At 44.0% G+C, this 22,481-nt stretch overlaps 1 protein-coding gene across 14 annotated transcripts in view, besides 6 other annotated features; it reads right to left on the bottom strand.

The window, feature by feature from the left end:
• Positions 1 to 22,481, bottom strand: part of JARID2 (jumonji and AT-rich interaction domain containing 2) — a 275,974-nt gene that overhangs the window by 241,971 nt on the left and 11,522 nt on the right. The gene's annotated exons all lie outside the window — the stretch shown is intronic.
• Positions 10,472 to 11,029: an enhancer, noted in NCBI's record as "NANOG-H3K27ac hESC enhancer chr6:15269274-15269831 (GRCh37/hg19 assembly coordinates)". NCBI's record gives its function as "activates a minimal SCP1, AML or CMV promoter by ChIP-STARR-seq in naive H9 embryonic stem cells {active_cell/tissue: H9 hESC(naive)}" and the evidence as "EXISTENCE:reporter gene assay evidence [ECO:0000049][PMID:30033119]".
• Positions 11,030 to 11,588: an enhancer, noted in NCBI's record as "OCT4-NANOG-H3K27ac hESC enhancer chr6:15268715-15269273 (GRCh37/hg19 assembly coordinates)". NCBI's record gives its function as "activates a minimal SCP1, AML or CMV promoter by ChIP-STARR-seq in primed H9 embryonic stem cells {active_cell/tissue: H9 hESC(primed)}" and the evidence as "EXISTENCE:reporter gene assay evidence [ECO:0000049][PMID:30033119]".
• Positions 11,589 to 12,146: an enhancer, noted in NCBI's record as "OCT4-NANOG-H3K27ac-H3K4me1 hESC enhancer chr6:15268157-15268714 (GRCh37/hg19 assembly coordinates)". NCBI's record gives its function as "activates a minimal SCP1, AML or CMV promoter by ChIP-STARR-seq in naive H9 embryonic stem cells {active_cell/tissue: H9 hESC(naive)}" and the evidence as "EXISTENCE:reporter gene assay evidence [ECO:0000049][PMID:30033119]".
• Positions 12,147 to 12,705: an enhancer, noted in NCBI's record as "H3K27ac-H3K4me1 hESC enhancer chr6:15267598-15268156 (GRCh37/hg19 assembly coordinates)". NCBI's record gives its function as "activates a minimal SCP1, AML or CMV promoter by ChIP-STARR-seq in naive H9 embryonic stem cells {active_cell/tissue: H9 hESC(naive)}" and the evidence as "EXISTENCE:reporter gene assay evidence [ECO:0000049][PMID:30033119]".
• Positions 14,700 to 14,839: an enhancer, noted in NCBI's record as "active region_24067". NCBI's record gives its function as "activates an Ori minimal core promoter by ATAC-STARR-seq in GM12878 lymphoblastoid cells {active_cell/tissue: GM12878}" and the evidence as "EXISTENCE:reporter gene assay evidence [ECO:0000049][PMID:35858748]".
• Positions 14,845 to 15,354: an enhancer, noted in NCBI's record as "OCT4-NANOG-H3K4me1 hESC enhancer chr6:15264949-15265458 (GRCh37/hg19 assembly coordinates)". NCBI's record gives its function as "activates a minimal SCP1, AML or CMV promoter by ChIP-STARR-seq in primed H9 embryonic stem cells {active_cell/tissue: H9 hESC(primed)}" and the evidence as "EXISTENCE:reporter gene assay evidence [ECO:0000049][PMID:30033119]".

Below are 22,481 nucleotides of genomic sequence, written 5' to 3'. Positions count from 1 at the left end.
ACATACATACGACCAGGTGTTAATTTTTCAGTCTAGGTGGTAAGTGCCCCAGATGTTCATGCTATTCCTTCAACTTCCCTAGACATGAAATTTCCCGAAATATAAAGTCAGTGAGGGAAGGGGATTTAATCAAATTCATCCAGATGATCTGCAAGTTAATATGGAATGCAAAATTAGGATAACAACCAATACTTACTGATTGCCTCCTAAGTGCCAGGAGACTGATTTAATGAAGGGTCTTAGGTAATGCTTAAGAGTTTAGATTTTATCCCATAGACGATAGGGGCTAATGAGAACCTGAGCAGGAAAGTAACTGTTTTTCAAAGAAAGAAAACTATGACAACAGTAGGGAGATTAGAGGGTAGTGCCTCATCAACTCTGACAAATTAACACAAGTACAAATTAATAATGGTGTACATGAATGAAGTACAAGAAAGTTGTGCTGGGAAAGCTAAGGGAAGTGACAGTAAGATTTTAATGCAAGTGGTGTTAATCAGGCAAGTACTTATGGAAGTAAAGGCTTTTATAAATTAGCAAGAAGGGAGATAAAGAGTAATACACCTGGGCACATACTTCCACGACCCCAGAGGCCAGGGAATCACTGGAACTAAGCAGTAAGCCGTGCCATGGGGCTAAACATGTAAATCCATACACATATGAAAAGTCAGGCTCACAAAACTTACCCACCGCCAACAAAATCAAACTAGTGGGCATACATATCACCTGGGACACAGACATTGCAGATAGGAGTGACGTGCTCCAACCATTTCAGAAAACAGTATTTCACTAATGTTGAAAATACACACAACCTTCGACCAATTTAAATCCTAGCTGTGAGTCAGAATACACAAAACTAAGGGTCACAACCACACTGTATTTAGTGGTGAAAACAAAAGGCAATTTATTGTCCATATATATGAATATATGTATATATGAATTTTGTTATACAATAGCTGGACAATTTATCTTTTTTTTTTTTTGGAGACACAGTTTCATTCTGCCTCCCAGGCTGAAGTGCAGTGGTGCGATCTTGGCTCACTGCAACCTCCACCTCCCAGGTTCAAGTGATTCTCATGCCTCAACCTGAGCTTGAGATTCTCATGCCTCAACCTCAAGCTGAGATTACAGGTGTATGCCACCACACCCAGCTAATTTTTGTATTTTTAGTAGAGACAGGGTTTCGCCTTGTTGGCCAGGCTAATCTCGAACGCCTGACCTCAAGTGATCTGCCCGCCTCAGCCTCTCAAAGTGCTGGGATTACACGTGTGGGCCACCATGCCCAGCCCGGCTGGACAATTTCCACCCAAACCAGTCCTCCAATCAATTCCTCTCGCAGCAGGTATGGCAGATATGAGACTGGCAGGGATGGGGGAGCATGTCCCCCCAGACCCTTCCTCTGCTGAGCTGTACCAGCCAGCTACACTATTTTCACCAGCCAGCTACACTATTACAGAGCTCACCTTTCTTTTTTTATTTTTTATTTTTTGAGACGGAGTCTTGCTCTGTTGCCCAGGCTGGAGTGCAGTGGCGCGATCTCGGCTCACTGCAAGCTCCGCCTCCCGGGTTCACGCCATTCTCCTGCCTCAGCTTCCCGAGTAGCTGGGATTACAGGCATGAGCCATCACGCCCAGCTAATTTTTTGTATTTTTAGTAGAGACGGGGTTTCACCGTGTTAGCCAGCATGGTCTCAATCTCCTGACCTCGTGATCCACCCGCCTCAGCCTCCCAAAGTGCTGGGATTACAGGCATGAGGTACAGTGCCTGGCTCATTGCAGTGTTTCGATTGAAATTTTGCTGGCAGAGCCACGGCGCCCAGCTCACCTTTCTTTCTTTAACTTTTGAGACAGGGTCTCACTCTGTTGCCCAGACTGGAGTGCAGTGGCACAATCTCAGCTCACCGCAACCTCCACCTCCTGGGTTCAAGCTTCAGCCTGGGATTCTCCTGCTTCAGCCTGGGATTACAGGCATGCTAATTTTTGTATTTTTAGTAGAGACAGGGTTTCACCATGTTGGCCAGGCTGATCTCAAACTCCTGATCTGAAATGATCCACCCACCTCGGCCTCCCAAAGTGCTGGGATTACAGGCATGAACCACTGCGCCCAACCAGAGTTCACCTTTTTTATGGGGTTTTTCCCTTACACTGTTTACAGCATACTCCAACAGTGTGTTCTCTCTCCAAAAAAAAGGATTTCTTTTGCTTTCTCTCCATCTATCCATCTTTCTTTGCCAACTTTCTCTTGAACTTGCCTTTTGCAACTACATGGAATCCTTGACTGTTTTTTTTTTTTTTTTGCAGACTTGGCTATCTATTAGTAAGTTACGACAAATAGAAAGCTGTTCTCTGTTGTCTTTCATAACTACTTTTAAACAGGTGAATCAATCTAATGCTTCAGTAACAGCTACTGAATTAACAAAAGTCCCATTTTACGTTTAGTCATTTTCAACAGGTACCTTAAAATGCAAAATAAAGACTGTCGGACCTTTGTTTCAGTTTAACTACTAGCTCTCTTCCTGACAAAGAGACTGGCCTACAACCCTGAGAAACCTTACCCAGGATAGAGACAGAGATACCAGAGCCAAAATCTCTCATCTGTATAACTTGGGGTACAGGGGTATCATGCCATTATTAAAATCAGAACAATTAAGGCCAAGAGCACGGTGGCTCATGCCTGTAATCCCAGCACTTTGGGAGGTTGAAGCAGAAGGACTGCTAGAGCCCAGGAGTTCCAAACCAGCCTGGGCAACATAGCAAGACCCTGTTTCTATAAAAAATAGGTAAATAAAATCAAAGCAATTAAGAAAACTGGGCTGTAACTCCAGCCCCTGCATATACTCCAGCCACCCACACTGCGTGCTACTTCAGGCCACTTCTCTCTCCAAAGCCCTATCTGCTCATCTGTAAAAATAAAATAATAGATTCTGCTTTGCAAAAGTGTGTGAGAATATTATGTACTTATGTTACTTAACAAGGCACTCAAAACATGGTAGTTACTACCATGGAAAAAAATCAACAAAGCACTTTTACTAAGAACTCATTCATGAAGAACTGAAAATTTGAATGGAGTCTCATCTTCTAACGAACTTCATGGTAACAAGCTTTCGCCTTGTCCAATGTGTTCCCTGGTCCATATGGTATACCCACAGTCTGAGTGCTGGTGGCCTTGTAACTTGGGGGAAGGTCCAAAAACACAATCAAATTGTACCGGCCTATTCCTAAGAAACTACCATAGCAATGTAATGACTCAACAGTCACTGGAAATTCTAGGTGGCATGGATACTGAAAGCAACAGCCTGGACCTCTCCTCCAAGGACCAGGCCAACAGGACCCCCTGGCTCATTCCAGAGAACCCCAAGAGACTGTTATTTCCATAACAAAAAGGAGTCCAGTATCTCTGACCTAATGAAAAAAGATCTCCGACCTAATGTAGAAAGCACTAAACAGACACAACAGGGCTTCTAGAAAGTCATGGGGCTGCCAACAAGATGCACATCCTTTAGGCAACTTCTGAGGCAATGTGGAAATGGAAGCGGCTGAGCTGGAAGGACTATTCCAGTAGTAAACTTTTACCTCCAAACAGCCTACCAACCCCAGACCTCCTTTGGCTCTCCCAGTGCTCAGTATGTGACAATGCCAAATCATATGAGACAGTTATATATGTATAACTCCCTAAATGCACTGGCAGGAATATACTTTATCTCTCCAGGGACCCTTTTAGGCAAGCATCATGTCTCCCACGCCATGTAGAATGCTTAAGCATTTTAACAGGCATGCAGAATCTGATGGATTTGCATTAACCTGGTTTTTCTGCAAGTCAGCTGAAAATGGACTGGACACTCGAGGGGAGGAGAGGCACTAACACAAAATTAAATTAACTAGGACATTTATCAAGTCGAACTTTAGTCAACTTAGGCAGCTTAAATAGGGAAGGGAGGAAACATCCATTTATCTCCTTTCCTCCAGCATTGCCTCTTTTCCTCATTAACATTATGGAGAGAAAAATGCAAAGCAATTTCCCTTCTAACTTTTTGCCCAAAAATTAAGGCAGTCTTTTTCTCCTACAAGCTGCTCAGTGAACATTCTACATCAATACAGAAGCACTGGACAACAGCCACACCATAGCAATTGTTAACTTTTTTCCCCCTTCTGAGAAAATATCCCCACTAGTCATGGCTTAATTTGCAAACCCCATTAGACAAAAAGTACCAGAAAATTGCTTGTCCCACTTCACGCAGTACCTTCCCTGTAGCAGTGACACAAGCAATTAGGTTAATACAACTCTGTCCCAAGAGAAGGAAAGGGGACAAAAGTCTCAACTTTCCTAAATGGAATGAAATTTTCCCCACTAGAGAGGCAAGGTTCAGTGGGTGAGAAAAGGGAATTGCAATGCTGTTAAATTCACTATTTAATAATGTAACGCCATAATCAACTGCAAGTCCTTGAACTTACATTATGCCTTTCTACTGGGATACTCATGTAATTTCAAATGTATTACTGTAAAAACCTGGTCATTGAAGAGGCAAAAGACGGGGGGGGGGGCGGGGGGGGCGGTAAATGGACTTTAATTAAAATGTGAATAATCCAAGTCCAGCTAATTCAAAGCATCTGACTTGAACACCTAGTCAGCTGGGAAACAGCAGCTGTTTCCAATTACAGGTGACTGTGAATTAACCGGTATCAGTATCTAATGAAGAAGCTGTGTATGTAGGAAATTTTCCAATTCTGGAAGTACAGCTGTGCACATGGCCTTTGTAAAAAAGGAAACACCAAAGATCCAAAACCCTGTCTATGTAACCTCCTTTTAGGTCAGGACAAAGTTTTCCAGCTCATTCCTGTCTTTGCTACTGACCCCAAGAGCCAACTGTTCCATGTTCAAGAGGGTTTCTCCACTCTTGAACCTGAGCCCAGAAACATTTTGCAAGGAGAGATCAAACAGCTCTTCCTGCTGCCCACACACCTTCTCCACTGGTCCGAGGTTGTCACCCCAAGTCACAGAGATGGAGGTAACCCAACAAAACAGAGGTTTTTAATCCTATCACACAAAATGGGAAACCAGAAGGGCTCTTGAAGTTCAGTGACCTCCTCAAAGCTAAAAGCGCAACCAAAACCTCCTTTAGTCTGGAGGTGCTCACTAGCCTCCAGTGGAGAAAGAACATTCCAGAAGGCTGACCAGCTTCTTTCTAACTGCAGGTGGAGCTTTAGACCATCAGATTGTCAGTGGCTTTTTAAGAATCCCACTAATATGCACAAGGACTAGAAGGAAGAATCAGGAGAAAACTGGGAAAGGGGGAGTGGATACCTCTAAAGTCTCCTTCCCAGGCTGAACCAAAGACTGAAGGTGCCCAGGATCACCACCAACAAAAAAACCCAGAATCAAAAAGAGGCCAACACAATATTGCCCTGGCTAAGTCACCCCTTCACACACAAAAAGTCGAGGTCTGAAATCTCCCACTCACCTCCTGGGCTGCTATATAAGAAGCCACTCTGGAAACATCACTTATTTGCCTGTGTTAAATTATCTGAATGAAGGAAAATAAATTTGGATCTGCAAATGCAACAGCATGCCAAATTGCCCTTTTCCCACACATTTCCTCTTTTACAAATAGAGCATGTTTCTTCAGAACAAAATACTAAATAATGCATATAAATGTTTAGTTTTTCTCTGTAAAAATTAAAAACAATCCCATTTCTCTAGCAGATAAAAATGCACCAGTGTCTTCATATGCCTACCTCTAAAGAACCACAAAAAAACATTAAAGACATCCCCCAAAACTATCTAAAATGAAAAGGGACAAATTTCCTTAATGCCCCCCAAAAACTCCTTTTTCAAAGATAGAGAAGCAGGCCAGGCACAGTGGCTCACACCTGTAATCCCAGCACTTTGGGAGGCCAAGGCAGGAGGATCACCTGAGGTGAGGAGTTCAAGACCAGCCTGGCCAAAACGGTGAAACCCCGTCTGTACTAAAAATACAGAAAATTAGGCAGGCGTGGTGGCGGGCGCCTATAGTCCCATCTACTCCGGAGGCTGAGGCAGGAGAATCACTTGAACCCGGGAGGCAGAGGCCACAGTGAGCTGAGATCGTGCCACTGCACTCCAGCCTGGGTGACAGGGCGAGACTCCATCTTAAAAAAAAAAAAAAAAGATATAGACAAAATTTTTCAGAGAAATGCAGAAGGGAAAAGAAAATGGAGCAGTATGTTCTTCAGTGAGTATCCCCAAGAATGACACCAATCTTTAGGTGTCATTTCATTCCATCTAGGATCCTGACTCAAAGCCAGGGTCCTACTAATTTACAACATTTCGAAAAATCGTGCTTCAAGAAAACTACCCTGAGAAACAGCTGTTTTGTTTGCTTGTTTGTTTGTTTTTTGAGACAGAGTTTCGCTCTTGTTGCACAGGCTGGAGTGCAATGGCACAATCTTGGCTCTCCGCAACCCACAAGTCCCAGGTTCAAGCGATTCTTCTGCCTCAGCCTTCCAAGTAGCTGGGATTACAGGCATGCGCCACCATGCCCAGCTAATTTTGTATTTTTAGTAGAGATGGGGTTTCTCCATGTTGGTCAGGCTGGTCTTGAACTCCTGACCTCAGGTGATCCACCCACCTTGGCCTCCCAAAGTCCTGGGATTACAGGCGTGAGCCACCACATCTGGCTGAAAAACAGTTTTTTAAAGAACACAACCATTAGTTGAAAATCATTCCCTTGGTTTTATAGTTTGTCAAGGAAGAAAATATAGCAGGGACAATTGGAAAAGAGATTATATGTGCACATCCCATGTGTACATCATTTGGCTATTAAATTCAGGGTATGTTTACAGAGAGCCCCGCTAAGTGTATTCAATAGCTCACAAATAAAACTCAGGTATTTTAAAATAAGGGTAGGGGAGACCACTACATGCAACTGCGATGTTTCCAGGCATAAGGCATCCTCCCCACCCACATGAGGAAACTTAGCACGTAAAAAATGAGGACCCAACAAAATCTAGTAAATGCCATATGCTGAATCCCCTAACTGCTTTCTCTATAGATGGCAACTTACTAGGCTTTATTTTGTAGGTTGATAAGAAAACACAAATATAACCTCTTAACCTAACTCCAGGAAGAAAAATCATTAAGATTGCTAATTTAACATTTTAGAGAATGATTTTTAAAGAGCCAATGGGAGCAGGGAGAAGAAAATAAACTTAGTGACTATGGCAAGAATAATAAACAAAATCATAACAACAAATAAAATGTATAGCCAGTGCCACGCAAAATTGAGTGGCCCAGGTACTATAATTATCACATCCATTTTACAGATAAGAAAACTGAGGCACAGAGATTGTGACAGAGGCAGGCTTCAAACCCAGGACTATGGCTGCATAAACCTGAGGTAATACCACCTTCCAGGATAGTGAAATCAAACACAGGCTCCAAAGTGAAACATCCTGATTTGGGGTCAAGTAGTGGTAGGGGGGTCCAACCCTGGCCCCTTTACCTGCTTTGTTTCCACAGCTGCAATTTGGGGGAAATGGCTAAGTCACAGAGTTGTGGTAAGAAGTGAATACGTAAAATGCTGTCTGTGTAAAGCATTTAGGGTAGGTATACATTCAATCAATGGTAGCTATTATCCAGTAACAACTTCTCTTTTTTAAAAACTATATAAGCTTTCAAGGTGAGTTCAGGATAGAAACCAGCAAAACAGTAAGAGCTCTACGCAGAAATTCCTGACACTGCTCTTTGTCTACTAAAGCAAGACATGGAAGCTTTGGGAAGTACATGATAACACTATGCAGGCAACGCATTATAGCTAGCTGTCTTCCTTCCAGAATGAAAACTGAAGAATGGTCTTCAGAAAGGACAACATAGAGGGCCACGGGGCCAAAAGATGCATTTTCAAGCAATGCTCAAGCCTTACAATTGCATCACTGTTTTTGTTTTTTTGTTTTTCTGCTGTTTTTTCGTTTTTTTGAGACAGAGTCTAACTCTGTTGCCCAGGCTGGAGTGCAATGGCACGATCCTGGCTCGCTGCAACCTCCACTTCCTGGGTTCAAGCGATTCTCATGCCTCAACCTCTCCTGAGTAGGTGGGACTACAGGCGACAGTCTCGCTCTGCCGCCCAGGCTGGAGTGCAGTGGCATGATCTCAGCTCACTGCAACCTCTGCTTCCCAGTTTCAGGCGATTCTCCTGCCTCAGCCTCCCGAGTAGCTGGGATTACAGGCACACACCACCACGCCCAGCTACTTTTTATATTTTTAGTATAGATGGGGTTTCACCATGTTGGCCAGGATTGTCTTTAACTCCTGGCCTCAAGTGATCTGCCAGCCTCAGCCTCCCAAAGTGCTGGGATTACAGGCATGAGCCACTGTGCTTGGCCCGCATCACTGTTTTTAAACATCTTTATACTGTAGGAGAGTGTCTCTTCAGTCCCTGCTGGTTCAGAAAAAGGTGAGATGAGGTCTCACTATTGTTGCCCAGGCTGGTCTCGAACTCCTGGGCTCAAGCAAGCCTCATGCCTTGGCCTCCCAAAGTGATGAGATTACAGGCATGGGCCACCACATCAGGCCTGGATCTTCTATAACAATAGTTTTCAAACTTCTGTTGGTAGCAGAGATCTTATTGGGAACCCTACCCTTCGATGCTCAGGTTGGGACAGAGATGTGAGATTTAAAAAAGAAAAAAGAAGCGAACCACTGCACCAAGAACAAAATCAGTCCCAAAGTCTTGCTACACGAAGTGTAGGCCCTGAGAGTTTGTTAGAATGCAGAATCCTAGGCCCCACTTCAGTCCTGCTGAATGAGGAGCTGCATTTTAACAAGATCCTTGTGTGATTAGAACCCACTGGCCTCAAGCCCTCCTGAACCTCCCTTGGTCCCAATCCTGCATGCCCCCTACACATGTCCCTCCCTACCACCTGAGAAAACAATCTCCAATCGGACAAGTATACAAAGTAGACAATAAATATTTGTAGAACTAAAATGAAATAAAATGAAAGGCTACAAACTTCTGAAAGACAAAAATCATAGCATTCTGGAGGGGAACTCTGTGTTCCCATCACACAATACTTGCAGCTAAGGAAAACAACTGTGGGAAAGCAAAGTGTGGGATTTGCCCAAGGTCCCACAGTTTTTTCTTTTCTCTCCTTTTTTTTTTTGAGAGGGAGCCTTGCTCTGTTGCCCAGGCTGGAGTGCAGTGGCAAGATCTCCGCTCACTGCAAGCTCTGCCTCCTGGGTTCATACCATTCTCCTGCCTCAGCCTCCCAAGTACCTGGGATTACAGGTGTGCACCACCATAATTTTTTCTATTTTTAGTAGAGACAGGGTTTCACCATGTGGCCCAGGCTAGTTTCAAACTCCTAGGCTCAAGTGATCTCCCCACCTTGACCTCCCAAAGTGCTGGGATTACAGGTGAAACCACCATGCATGGCCTCTGGTCAGCTTTTTCAAGGCAGAGCAAGAACCTAAAGGAAATGCCAACACCTTAATAACACAGTCACTGCTAAGTCCAAAGGTAGAGTTTCAAGTTCTGGTAACCTGACATGACTCGCAATCATAACCCTTCCTAAATAAAGTACCCATTCTATGCCTGTAAAATGAGGGCAAGGGATTGCAGCTACCTAACCAATAGGATCAAATACATGAAGACCAAGAAAAACCCTGAGCAGGCCAGGTGCAGTGGCTCGTGCCTGTAATCCCAGCACTTTGGGAGGCCAAGGCGGGTGGATCACCTGAGGTCAGGAGTTCGGGACCAGCCTGACCAACATGGAGAAACCCTGTCTCTACTAAAAATACCAAATTAGCCAGGTGTGGTGGCAAATGCCTGTAATCCCAGCTACTCCGGAGGCTGAGGCAGGAGAATCGCGTGAACCCAGGAGGTGGAGGCTGCAGTGAGCCAAGATCACACCATTGCTCTCCAGCCTGGGCAACATGAGTGAAAGTCCATCAAAGACGGAAGGACGGACGGACAGATGGACGGACTGAAGGAAGGAAGGAAGGATCGACCCTGAGGCAAATCATTTCATCAGTTACAAGTGCTAGGATCTACAGAAAGACTAAGAAATGAGTATGTTCCCTTTGTATACAACCCTTGTGTTAATATTCTTTATGAAAAAACAAAAAACCTCTACCAATGTCTGCATATAATTACTCAGGAAAGAAATGACAAGGTTGCAGCGAAGCTAACCAATTTCCCAGCAAAACTCAACTTGAGACCATGTTTACCAATCTTCAGTCTGTCAAGTAAATTCTAAGTATCCTTCCTGGGGATCCCATCCAAGTCACTTCTGGACTCTGTGGTCTATATAGCCAGTAAAAACACTGCAGACATACATAAACACTGCCTGGATATTCTTTGCAAATGTTTGTAAAGGCTCCTAGACAAAGAAACTGGGCCAGGCAAGGTGGCTCACACCTGTAATCCCATCACTTTGGGAGGCTGAGGTGGGATGATTGAGGCTAGGAGTTCATACCCAACCTGGGAAACAATGCTAGACCCCATCTCTACCAAAAAAAAAAAAAAAAAATTTTAAAATAGCCATCTCTACAAAAAAAAATTAAAAATTAGCCAAGTGTGGTGTCATGCACCTGTGGTCCCAGCTACTAGGGGGTGGGGCAGGGAAGGCAGGAGGATCTCTTGAGCCCAAGAGTTCAAGGATGCAGTAATAAGCTGTGATCACACCACCACACGCCAGCCTGGGCAACAGACCCTGTCTCTTAAAATAAAATGTAAAAAATGCTGAAGGTTCAAATACTATTGAAAGATTAAAAATCCAACTTTAGGAGGCAGTTATCGAGTCAGAAACTTCTTTCCGCCCCCCCCAACAAGAATGCTCACAGCCCAGTGGCCTGGTCTAGGGACTAAGGGTGGAGCACAGGGAACAGGGCACTCAGATTAGGAGGTTTTACAGAGGCCTGGGAGGAGACAGAAAGCTATTTAACGGTTTTCCTCCTCCCTCAAGAAAGGGGCAACTACCTCACCACTGGCAAGCATTTTGAGGCCACCAAAGACATGATGGTTCAGCACATCTTTTGATAAATTCTAGGACATTCCCCAAGCACACACCAGACAAGTAGGCCTTTAAATTTCCTAACGAGAAACAGGCACTGGCATTTCCTACCTTGCCTGCCATGGGCACACGCACACGCCTGACTTTAAGAGGTTTAACAAAAGAGTTAGAGCCCCGAACTTCCTTGACTTTAATTAAACTTGGCTTCCACTTCTGAAAAATCCTGAAGTTTTTATTTTGTTCTGTAGTCTCACTAATGCTTTTAAATGAGAGATGCTGTGAAAAGGAAAAGCAAATTCTTTGCAGCTGCGTGTGAGCATTCTGCCAACTGAAGCACAGGAAGAAGCTCTCCCATGTTAAAAATTTCCAACTGGGAGATTTACAAAACAGCAGGGGAGGATGGATGGGGCAGAGGGAGACGTGTGCATGTGAAAGAGCTGCAAAAAGCTCCCTTTTTTGTGTTCAAGTCCCAGAGGCCTTCGGAGGCTTGTCATGCTTCAGCGATTGCCACCCCCTCCCATTTTACACCCCTTCCAAAGCCACCGTCCTTTCCATCCAGGCTTTCGGATATAAGTACACATTCTGCAGAACCACTTCTTAGCTGTTCCTTTATTTTACCCCCATCTCCCCAGGCCGCCCCAACACTCATTCTGCCATAACTGGATAATGGAAAGAAGCTTAACAGGGAGGTAGCAACCATTTCCCTCTGACTAAATGAAGTCCTGGCGTTAAGCTGCACTCCTCAGGAGGAAATGACAAGCATTTTGGCAAATGAACTTTTTTGTTTTCTATTAGCAGCAGCAAGATATCCACTGTTGACAACAGCAAAAGTTCACAAAGATAAGCTTCTAGGCTGTGTTTTTAAAGCTCTTCGGAAAATCTAGCTCTACCCTTACGAAAAGCCAATTTGGTCAAAAATGCTGTCAGAAGGGTTTGGAGGTTTGGTTTTAAATTTCCATATTAAGTGATGGGGTTTGGTCTTTTCAGAGAAGGAAAGAGTCACCACACTATCACAATTTCTAGGAAGCAGGCATGCACATTAGGTATGGTGTCCCACTGTCGTCCATCACCTATCCCCTGTTCTGGGGTGTGGGGTTGTCCATACTATTAACCGATCCCCGCCGCAGTTAAGCCTTAGGAGTTGCAACCCCACAGCATCCTCGGGGGCTGCTGATGTACACTTCATGGAACCAACTTTCTTCTTACTAAATCCTCCGCTGAATGCAGTTTTTTCTCAGGGCCCCAAGCAACACAAACACATCCTCAGGAGTGCAGGTAAAATATAAACCCTCTGGGGATCAGCATGCACACCACCCAAAAACCCCCTACTGCATATCTACAGAGGTGCACAGTAACAAAGCACTGGCAGACAGACAGGAAGCACTCCATAAGGTCCTCGGGAACGCAACCATTGAGTTCGCGCGTCACACCGGACTTCTGAAGACAGGACAGCCAAAAAATATCCTTCATAAGGAGTTAATGCCATGGCTTGAAACAGTCAACCAGAAAATTCACTAGAACCAGCTTACTCCATTCCCAGAGCATTCAGAGTCTGTCTACATGTTACTATAATTTGAAACCTGATTCTAAGAACATCCTTGTACCTAGGCCATTTCACAACTGATGCTCTTGCAGAAGGTATCGGTTCCCTCCTGGGCACCTACTGCTGTTTATAACCAGTTGGTTAGGCTTCAGGATCCTTTCCTGGTGGTTGCTGACATGCCTTTTGCTGCCCCTCAAGCAGATCTTTGAGCTATCTCTATGTAGATAAAAGGAAAGGCCTCACTCTGTCTTATGTCAGATACTGATAAGCCGCTTTAAGATTTTCTTTTTCATGGGAGTGGGAGAATAGTTTAGGAGAGTAAGAGAATAACACTCCAGGAAGCCCAGGGTCTCTTTGGACACTGTGTTCAGAGTTTCAGAGTGTTGAATTCACCATCTCTCCCCACAGCCAAAGAAGACAACTTAACTGTTTGCCATCCAGTAAGTTGCAATATGTCAGCATTAACCCAAACCCTCGATCACGCAGCTAGAAGCAATACTAATATACAGGTGGAAGAGAATGCCTACAATGAAAGGGGCACAGTTGTGCCTATTAGAGCACCTAATCTCCACTCAGGGACGCACGTGCACCCCACATTACAATGGAGAACACTGAGAATTTAAACCACGGCCTGGTGATCCTCCTGGACATGCAGCTAATAAGTGGCTGAGGGACAACCAGTGGTCAGCTGGCGCCCTGATTGTTATTACAGCAGTGCATTTTCTAGGAGGCAGGCCACTGGCGAGGTCTCCTGGGGTCATGAGATGACTCTGACATGAAATAACAAACACACACAATCAGATATGCGTCCACAAAGCTGTTTCTCACCCTGCCCCCAAAAAATGTTTAAACATTGAGAGTGTAGAACTTTCAAGCTACCAAAAGAAAATGTTTTGCCTTAAAATGACAAAAAAGCAGAAGAAACTTTGATGAAAGATTCCTAAAACTCAAAATATACTACAAACACCCTAGCCAGGAGAAACACGTTGAGCAACGGAAGTGCAACCAAGCGCTGCTAGGCTGACAACAATGACCATGAAACTGCTGTTTCCTTATGAGGCCCTGCAAATTAGTCCTTCCCCCAGCGGGAGAGGATATGGAGCTCACGGTTTGCTATTTTCCTTTTCATTACTACTATTCCAGGGTGCAGGTAAGAAAGAGAAAGAGAAGGAATTTGGGAAGACGTTAAGAAGTAAAACTCTAAACTATTACTTATGTTGTTTGCTCTCTGTTGGAAGATCATTGTAACTAATAGTTAAAATATACTTGGCAGAGACCGTGCTAAAAAGCTCTTTAAAAGAGGGGCCATACAAGGATCCCCAAACTCTGCTTAATCAGTACCAACACCACAGGAGATTCATCGGACACACTTGTCTTCCTGGGCTCCAGAGACTTCCTAAGGTAAAATGGGAAGACACAAATGTCTCCAGGAGAGCATATGTGACAGTTCTTTGAGAGAAAGCTGATCAGTATTGACCTTTAATTTGGAGACACTAAGCCTCGTGCCATCTCTTTTATGAATATGAGAGAGCACTTTGGGACCTTTTCCAGCTGGGAGGAAGGAAGCACAATTATTCACCCCCGTTGGCTAGGAGACCTGATGAGCTCCACTTTCAAAACCGTAACAGACCAGCCACCGCCCATGCCCTCCAGTTTCCATGAGGCAGAGACCCCTGAGTGGAGAAGGGGTCTGAATGTAAATGAGGGAGGGGCTGGGACAATCCCACACTATCCTGTGAATGACCATGATGCTGGTCCCAGATTCCTGCTTGCCCAGTCCAAAAGCAAGTGAACATGCTGCCCGGGCTCATCAGGTCCCTGGGGAAGAGGGTCACCTTACACTGTTAAGACAGCATTCACGGAGAGCCCTGCAGAATACTCCTTAATTGCCTGGAAAGTGACCTGTCCAATGGGGCTTTCCTGGCTTCTTGGCTGCCAGCCAAGAAGTAGCCTTAACTTCTGTACCCATGGGGAGAGATGAGGGCAAGTCCCAAAGCAGTATCACTTCACAAAATAAATCTCACAGAGCCAAATCTGGAATGTTACTGCACAGATATTTGAAATCCCAGCTGACAGTCCTATACCTATTTGGGGCTGGGAGGATGATTAAGGCTTTAAATCTCAATTACACTTATGGAACTCTAAATGACTGCGTGGTTTTTTTTTGTTTTTTTTTTTTTAATGCAAACCTAAGTTTGGGATGCAGAACTACAGAGACAAGAACTCAGCAAGCACCCCCACTTCCTCCAAAGAGTAGTCAAGTCCCACAGCACAGCCCGGAGCAGTAGCTGTTAAAAGACAAGGGCTGGGCTGGATCCGGCCAACATTACAAGGACAACCAACTGGTCTCATTCCTTAGTCTTGTGCTTTTAAAGGGCAGACGATGTGCCAACTATTTTAAAGCTCCAACACACTAATTCTGTAAACAATAATAGCTACAGCCTGCACACTGCGCACTGGAATGGATTCCTCAACTTGGCCTCATCACTTATGCAGCTGATGAAACAAACACTGACAGCTTTTTTGCATTTGTAAAGGCCCCACAGCAGCTGTGGTGATCCCACCATAGAGCAATGAATTAAGCCTGAAACCCAGCTGGGTCTGAACAGAAGCCTTTTTTGCACAATACAGCAAGACTATCATTGTTAACCTAGGCATTATTGGGAAATATTCTGCATTACATTATAGGGCAGTTCTAACTCAATTCTTAAAATTAGCTCTAATAAGCAATTTTAGTAGGAGGGATGTGGCGTTAGCCTTTGAAAGGCACAAGTATGTGTATAGGTTATAGGTACACCACATAAAAGCGGCCCGGCAGAACACAGATTTCCAGTTAAACAATGCAAAGTTTAAAATATTAACTCCTTCTTAGATATTCTCTCTCTCTCTCTATCTCTCTCTCTCTCACACACACACACACACACACACACACACTCACACCTACCTTCTAAACTGAGGTGGGTGTCTAAACTAGTAAATTCTTGGCTACTTGGCCACTGCAGAGAAAAATATTGAATATAGCTGTCAGGGCTCCTGTTAGTAAGCCAAACTAATGACCTGAGCACAGGAGTCAATTTGGAACAGAAAACCATACCAGAAAAACTGGAGTGTGAGAAGCATGATTAATACCATTAGTAAAGAATTTTTTGACAATGACCTTGAGCACTATGAAATAAATAAGATTCCAAATACTGATTAATACCATCAGTAAAGAATTTTTTGACAATGAACCTGAGGACTATGTAATAAACAAGATTCCAAATACTGACGGACACACTGGTGTTTACAGGCTTCTTATCATCAGGAAGTTCTAGGAAGGCAAAGACACCCACACCAAGACATGTGCTCCTACAGAATCGGAACACGCACTCTCTGCTTCACAAAATGCTTCTCAATACCACTAGGCCACATGACATTTGCAGTCCCCACCATCCACTTCTCTTATGTTGCCTTACAGTTTTTCTAACAATTAAAAATTGCCTGAAATTAGCCAGGCATGGTGAAGCGCAGCTCTAGTCCCAGCTACTTGGGAGGGTGAGGTGGGAGGATCGCTTGAGCCCAGGAAGGTTAAGGCTGCAGTGAGCTGCGTTCACGTCACGGCACTCCAGTTTGGGTAACACAGCGACACCCTGTATCTAAAAAATAAAAATTGCCAGCCGGGCACGGTGGCTCACGCCTGTAATCCCAGCATTTTGGGAGGCCGAGGCAGGCAGATCACCTGAGGTCAGGAGTTTGAGACCAGCCTGGCCAACAAGGTGAAACCCTGTATCTACTAAAAATACAAAAATTAGCCAGGCGTGGTGGCGGGTGCCTGTAATCCTGGCTACTCTGGAGGCTGAGGCAGGAGAATCACTTGAATCCGGAAGGCGGAGGTTGCAATGAGTGGAGATCGCGCCACTGCACTCCAGCCTGGGCGACAAAGTGAGACTCTGTCTCAAAAAAAAAAAAAAAAAAATTGTCTGACTCTAGTTAAGGACCAATCTCAACAATTTCACACCAACTTGGGGAAAATAAATCTAGTAAATTCAGAGAAATCAAAAGAATACAGTAACATCCCTCCTCCTTTGAAGAACTCCTATTTCTTAATGGAGTTCATTACGAAGGGTAGTTTTTCAAAGAAAAATAAAAACCATTTTTGGTTCAGCAGGCTTGGAAGGAGAAGAAAATCAGGGATAATTTCTAGGTCATTCTACTCCCCATAGTCCTCTGCCAAAGAATGCTGACAGAGGTAACCACAAGAAAGTCAAAACCTAAGGTAATGCAGGAAATCTGAAGTCCCACCATCAAGCCACTGGAGCATATGATTCCAGCACAAGCACGTGTGACCAGTGTTTACGGTTTGCAAAGGGGTAGAGGAAATGAGACCACTCTTGGCCACCCACAGTGACATGGAGAGTGACAGGCAGTAAGGAAAATGAGGACCCCTACCACACACACACACACACACACACACACACACACACACACACACAAACACACACCCTCCAAAGGGCAAGCTAGAGCCCCAGAAGGGGAGGGCACAGCATAGGACTCTGCTGAACAGAGCACATCACTTCAGAGGCATGAACTGAAACACAGCTTAATGACAGAAAATAAATTTAGTAGTAATACGTATAAGCACGCTTTTCTAACAAGGTATTCCAAGAGAAATGCAAACAAATCCACACAAAAACCTCCACACAAACGTTCACCGCAGCATTGTTCAAAATAGCCAAACGGGCCGGGCACGGTGGCTCACGCCTATAAATCCCAGCACTTTGGGTGGCCGAGGCGGGTGGATCATGAGTTCAAGACTAGCCTGGCCATCGTGGTGAAACCCCGTCTCTACTAAGAATACAAAAATTAGCCGGGCGTGGTGGCGCACACCTGTAATCCCAGCTACTCGGAAGGCTGAGGCAAGAGAATTGCTTGAACAGGGACCCGGAAGTGGAGGTTGCAGTGAGCCAAGATTGCGCCACTGCACTCCAGCCTGGGCTAGAGTGAGACTCCATCTCAAAAAAAAAAAAAAAAAAATAGCCAAACCATAGAAACAACTCAAATGTCCATCAGCTGATGACTGGATACACAAAGCATGATACATCCATACAATGGAATGTTATTCAGCCACAAAAAGGAATGAAGTACTGATACACACTCCAGCATGAATTTTAGAAACATAATTTTAAAAGACACAAGACACAAAGTCCACATATTATATGATTCCATTCACATGGAATATCCAGAATAAGCAAAAGCACAAAGACAGAAAATGATTCGTAGGTGTAAGAGGCTGGAAGAACTGGGGTGAAGATCACTTGAGGCCAGGAGTTTAAGACCCACCGAGGAAACACAGCGAAACCCCACCTCTATAAAAATTTTAAAATAAGAAAATTAACAGGCAAAAAAAAAAAAAAGGCATGAGATTCTTCATTTATACATACCTTTTCCATGTCAGTGCCTACTCAGACAAAGTCAAAACCATCCCCTGGGCCGGGCGCGGTGGCTCACGCCTATAATCCCAGCACTTTCGGAGGTTGAGGCAGGCGGATCACAAGGTCAGGAGTTTGAAACCAGCCTGACCTGCACGGTGAAACCCCGCCTCTACTAAAAATACAAAAAATTAGCCGGGCATGGTGGCGCGCGCCTGTAGTCCCAGCTACTTGGGAGGCTGAGGCAGAATTGCTTGAACCAGGGAGGTGGAGGTCGTGGTGAGCCAAGATTGCGCCACTGCACTACAGCCTGGGTGACAGAGCAAGGCTCCATCTCAAAAAAAAAAAAAAAAATCCCTGAATTTGTATATAAGGTATACAATATACAGTAGGACGTAGTAGGGAGTACAAAAGTAAATTCAGTATTCCTTATCAACTTTAGAAATCTTTTAACACTCAGCAAGGAGGATTACTTGCTGCTGATGGCAGAAACCACATTCCTTAGAAGAGAAAACACCAGGCCGGGCGGGGTGGCTCACGCCTGTAATCCCAGCACTTTGGGAGGCCAAGGCGGGCAGATCACAACGTCAAGAGATGGAGACCATCCTGGCAAACTAACATGGTGAAACCCTGTCTCTACAAAAAACACAAAATTTAGGTGGGTGTCGTGGCGCACGCCTGTAGTCCCAGCCACTTGGGAGGCTGAGGCAAGAGAAGCGCTTGAACCTGGGAGGTAGAGGTTGTTGCAGTGAGCCAAGATAGCGCCACTGCACTCCAGCCCAGGCCACAGAGCAAGACTCCGTCTCAAAAAAAAAAAAAAAAAAAAAGAAGAAGAAGAAAAAACACCATCCAAGGCCTTCATAGACCGTATATAATGCCTGTCCTGAAAAACAAGCTGTTAATGCCTGAGCAAAGTGACATCGTCCTTTCTTTATTGGGATGACCTCCATGTACAAAGGGAGTAGTAATAGGACTCTTCTTACCATTAAGGTCTTCATTTGTATTAAAGAACTGTAAGCAAACAATGTTTGGCTGTAAAAGCTTTGCAAGTCAAAGATAATGGCCTTCCTTGGTAAACTGACTGTTCTTTATAATCATCATTATTTATACTCCCAAGAGGCTTTTGCCTAATGCTCCAATAAATTCTGGAAAGAAATAACATGACAATTTCAGCAAGTCTCATGGAAGAAGGCAAGGGAAAAAAAGGCTACTTGAATAGAAAGTGTGTTTCATCCTGGGGTATGTCAGTGTTGGGACAGTGATCACATCGCTTAATTAGAGCAAGGAGTACATTTAGAAGAAAGAAGAAAAAGCCACCACTTTTTAGCTTCAGGTATTTCCAAGTGAAATCTATCCTCCCCACCTCCCAATGCTTTCCAGCTTACCAGGGCCAAAAGAAAACCCATTTTAATAGCATCATTAGAGTTTTGATTTATCACAAGTACAGAAGAGCGTGCAGTATTGCACTCCTTATCTCATCCAGACAAGAACTCCATTGAACATGAAGCTTTGCAAGTTCTTATTTGTACCAGGAGTTTCTGCAGAACTAATTGATGGTGTTTATATTGAGCTGGTGTTTATATTTGAGACAAGTATTTCCCGACCTCTTCAACTATGAGACTTGGCCCATGGCTTAGATATGCCCAGAGCCCAGACTCTGGGACACTTAGGCAAGCCAAATATGTTCTTTATTTAAAGGAGGTTTCCTTTCCCTCTGTCAGCCACCTTTTAGATTCCAGCTAAGTTTAAACCACAATGGTTTGGAATCCTAACAGTAGTTTTGAGGATTACAATACAGAATGAGTATTTCAAAACATTTTTAAAGACACAGAACACTGAATCATGCAGTAACACCCACCAATCGCTCCCCTCAAAGTAAGTCAAGTTCAGAAGTTCACTATTAAATCCAGACCCTCCCAAATCCAGACCCTCCCTGGCCCCCTGCACTGTGGAAAAAAGTGATAAACTGCATTGGTATTTAAATAAAAATCTGATCTCTGCCACTCGAAGATGTAATCATCACTGGGGATTACTTTCATGCATCTTTAAAATTCTTTCAGATTAAAAGATCTGTCAGAGTGTCAATACCAATACTATTAAGCAAAACTTGCCTTTACTTAAAGTTTTAGGTCAAGACCTCAAACCAAAAGCAAAAACACTGCCAGGCCCAAACACTGCTGCATTGAGATGAATGAACAACTACTCTGCTGTCCACAGTTTAATCTGACTGTCCCTTTTTTGCATTTGGAAAGTGAACTTGAGTCAGATCTAAGTAAAAATTATTTGCTCCTGGAATGACAGCTCATCGTGGCTTTAAAATCCTTTTTTAGAATGAGGGGCATAAATACATAAATATATAAAAGTAACCCCCATCAAAAAAATGTAACCAGCTAGGAGTCCCAGTGAGAAGGCTGAACAGTGGTTAAAACTGAACGTTAACCAAACCCCACTAAAATAACCTCATCTCCCCAACATACCCATCTAACCCCTGTCCTAAGTGCAGATGAGCGAGCCCTAGCAAACATTTTATGATCTTCAAAAGATTAAGAAGCCAAGTCCACCATTCTTTTGGCATCTCTCAAAGCCAGTGGCATTTGCCACTCCAAATCATCAGTTTGAGAAGGAGATGTGGCATTGTGTATAGGGTCCAGCCTGGTGCTGTCACAGCTCTGGGAAGGCAAGACCATGCAACCAAGCCCTTCAAGGCAGATGAAAACCATGTGCTACCAATTTGACTGGGACTCCAGACCATGACTCCTTATTAAATGCCTTCTATTCACATCAGCTCTTTCATCCTCCAACATCAAGACATTATTACAAGCTGAAAATAGAACAAACAGAGCTTTAGTGCTCTGGGCAGTGTAAGAATGGAAAAGGAGGCAATTTAGGTAAAACCAAGTGTTAGGTTCCACCTCATCTCTAAGGGTACATCTTGCCTGGAGAATAAAAGGCAGGCAAAGTAGTTCATTCAAAAGTATGCAAAAAAGTCATGCTGCTTCTTAGTCACACTGTGAACACTACCCTCATCCTCACAAACCAGGGAAGGCAGAGGGAAGATAAAAATCCCATCCATCCAAAAATATGTCTGGGTGTAAAGAGACTCACACTGCATTTTTCCATAAGTTAGGAAGAAAAACCAAGCCTTGGTGAGAAGGAAAGGTGCTAAGCACCCTTATTATCTGAATTTCTATCCTCTTCCTCGAACAACTGGGATATACTATAATCAGCACAGATGACCCAGAAACAGTTTCCTCTTCAATCTTGCACTTGGAGAATTACAGCCACAAGAATCTGTAAGACTTATAATAACATGGTCTAAATAGTCACAGTTGGTGTTCTGCTGTTTTGTTTTGTTTTGAGACAGGATCTTACTCTGTTGCCCAGGCTGGAGTGCAGTGGCGCAATCTCGGCTCACTGCAACCTCTGCCTCCTGGGTTCAAGCAATTCTCCTGCCTCAGCCTCCCAAGTAGCTGGGATTACAGGCGCTTGCCACCACACCTGGCTAATTTTTGTATTTTCAGTAGAGACAGGTTTTCACCATGTTAGTCAGGCTGGCCTCAAACTCCTGACCTTGTGATCCGCCCGCCTTGGCCTCCCAAAGTGCTGGGATTACAGGTGTGAGCCACCACGTCCGGCTATAGTCACAGTTCATAAAGCACTTCACACTTTAACATTTGATTCAGCCTCCCACAAAATGACCTTGAGAGGCCAATAATGAAGGCACAATTCTCCCCCTTTCAAAGATGAAGAAACTGAGACCTGGAGAGGTGAAGTGATCTACCCAAGATGACAGAGCAGAGATCCTCAACTTCAGACTGACTCCAAAGCCAGTGCTCTCCTCCCATTGTTTCACATCCCTGCTGCCAACTAAACTGTAAATGCCCCTCAGACAAGGGCAATGTCGTATTTTCAAACTCCCAACACAGTGTCAGAACATGGTAAGCAACCAAAAAATGCCAGCTGTATTTAACTGAACAGTCTTCCAAGCCACAGCCCAAAGGGATCTTCGTAAATATACAAAGCCCACCTCACAAACAAGGCTGAGATCACATATGAAAACAATGTGATTGGGGGTCATCTTTATTACTTAAGTATCTCTATGTCCTCACAACAAAAAGCATTTCATACATATAAGAATAAGAACATCATTGTACAATTACCCAAGGCTCTCCCTTTCCCTTCCCTTCTGGAGCTGTTCTGACTAATAACACATTGTGTTCTTAGAGCAATTTTGTTTTACAAAGTGCTTTCACATATCTTATCTCATTTAGTTCTAAATGCCCTGAGAGAGGACACAGGAAGAAAATAGAAACTTAAATAAAACTCAACTGACATCTTTACTACTTGTTACAAATGCCTGTATTGTTTTTTAAAAGCCAACAAACCAACCAACCCGCTGGCCTAACGTGTACTACCTGTGGGACTGTAAATTAGTATAGCCTCTCTCCAAGAAAGCAATGTACTAGGAAAGATCAAAACGTAAATACGGGCACTTCTAAGTCAGTAATTTCACAGTAAGAATTTAGAGTTGAGTGCAAACAGACACGT

This window comes from Homo sapiens, chromosome 6, assembly GCF_000001405.40.
Source record: "Homo sapiens chromosome 6, GRCh38.p14 Primary Assembly".
Lineage (NCBI taxonomy): Eukaryota > Metazoa > Chordata > Mammalia > Primates > Hominidae > Homo > Homo sapiens.
This window is presented reverse-complemented; position numbering and strand designations above follow the sequence as displayed.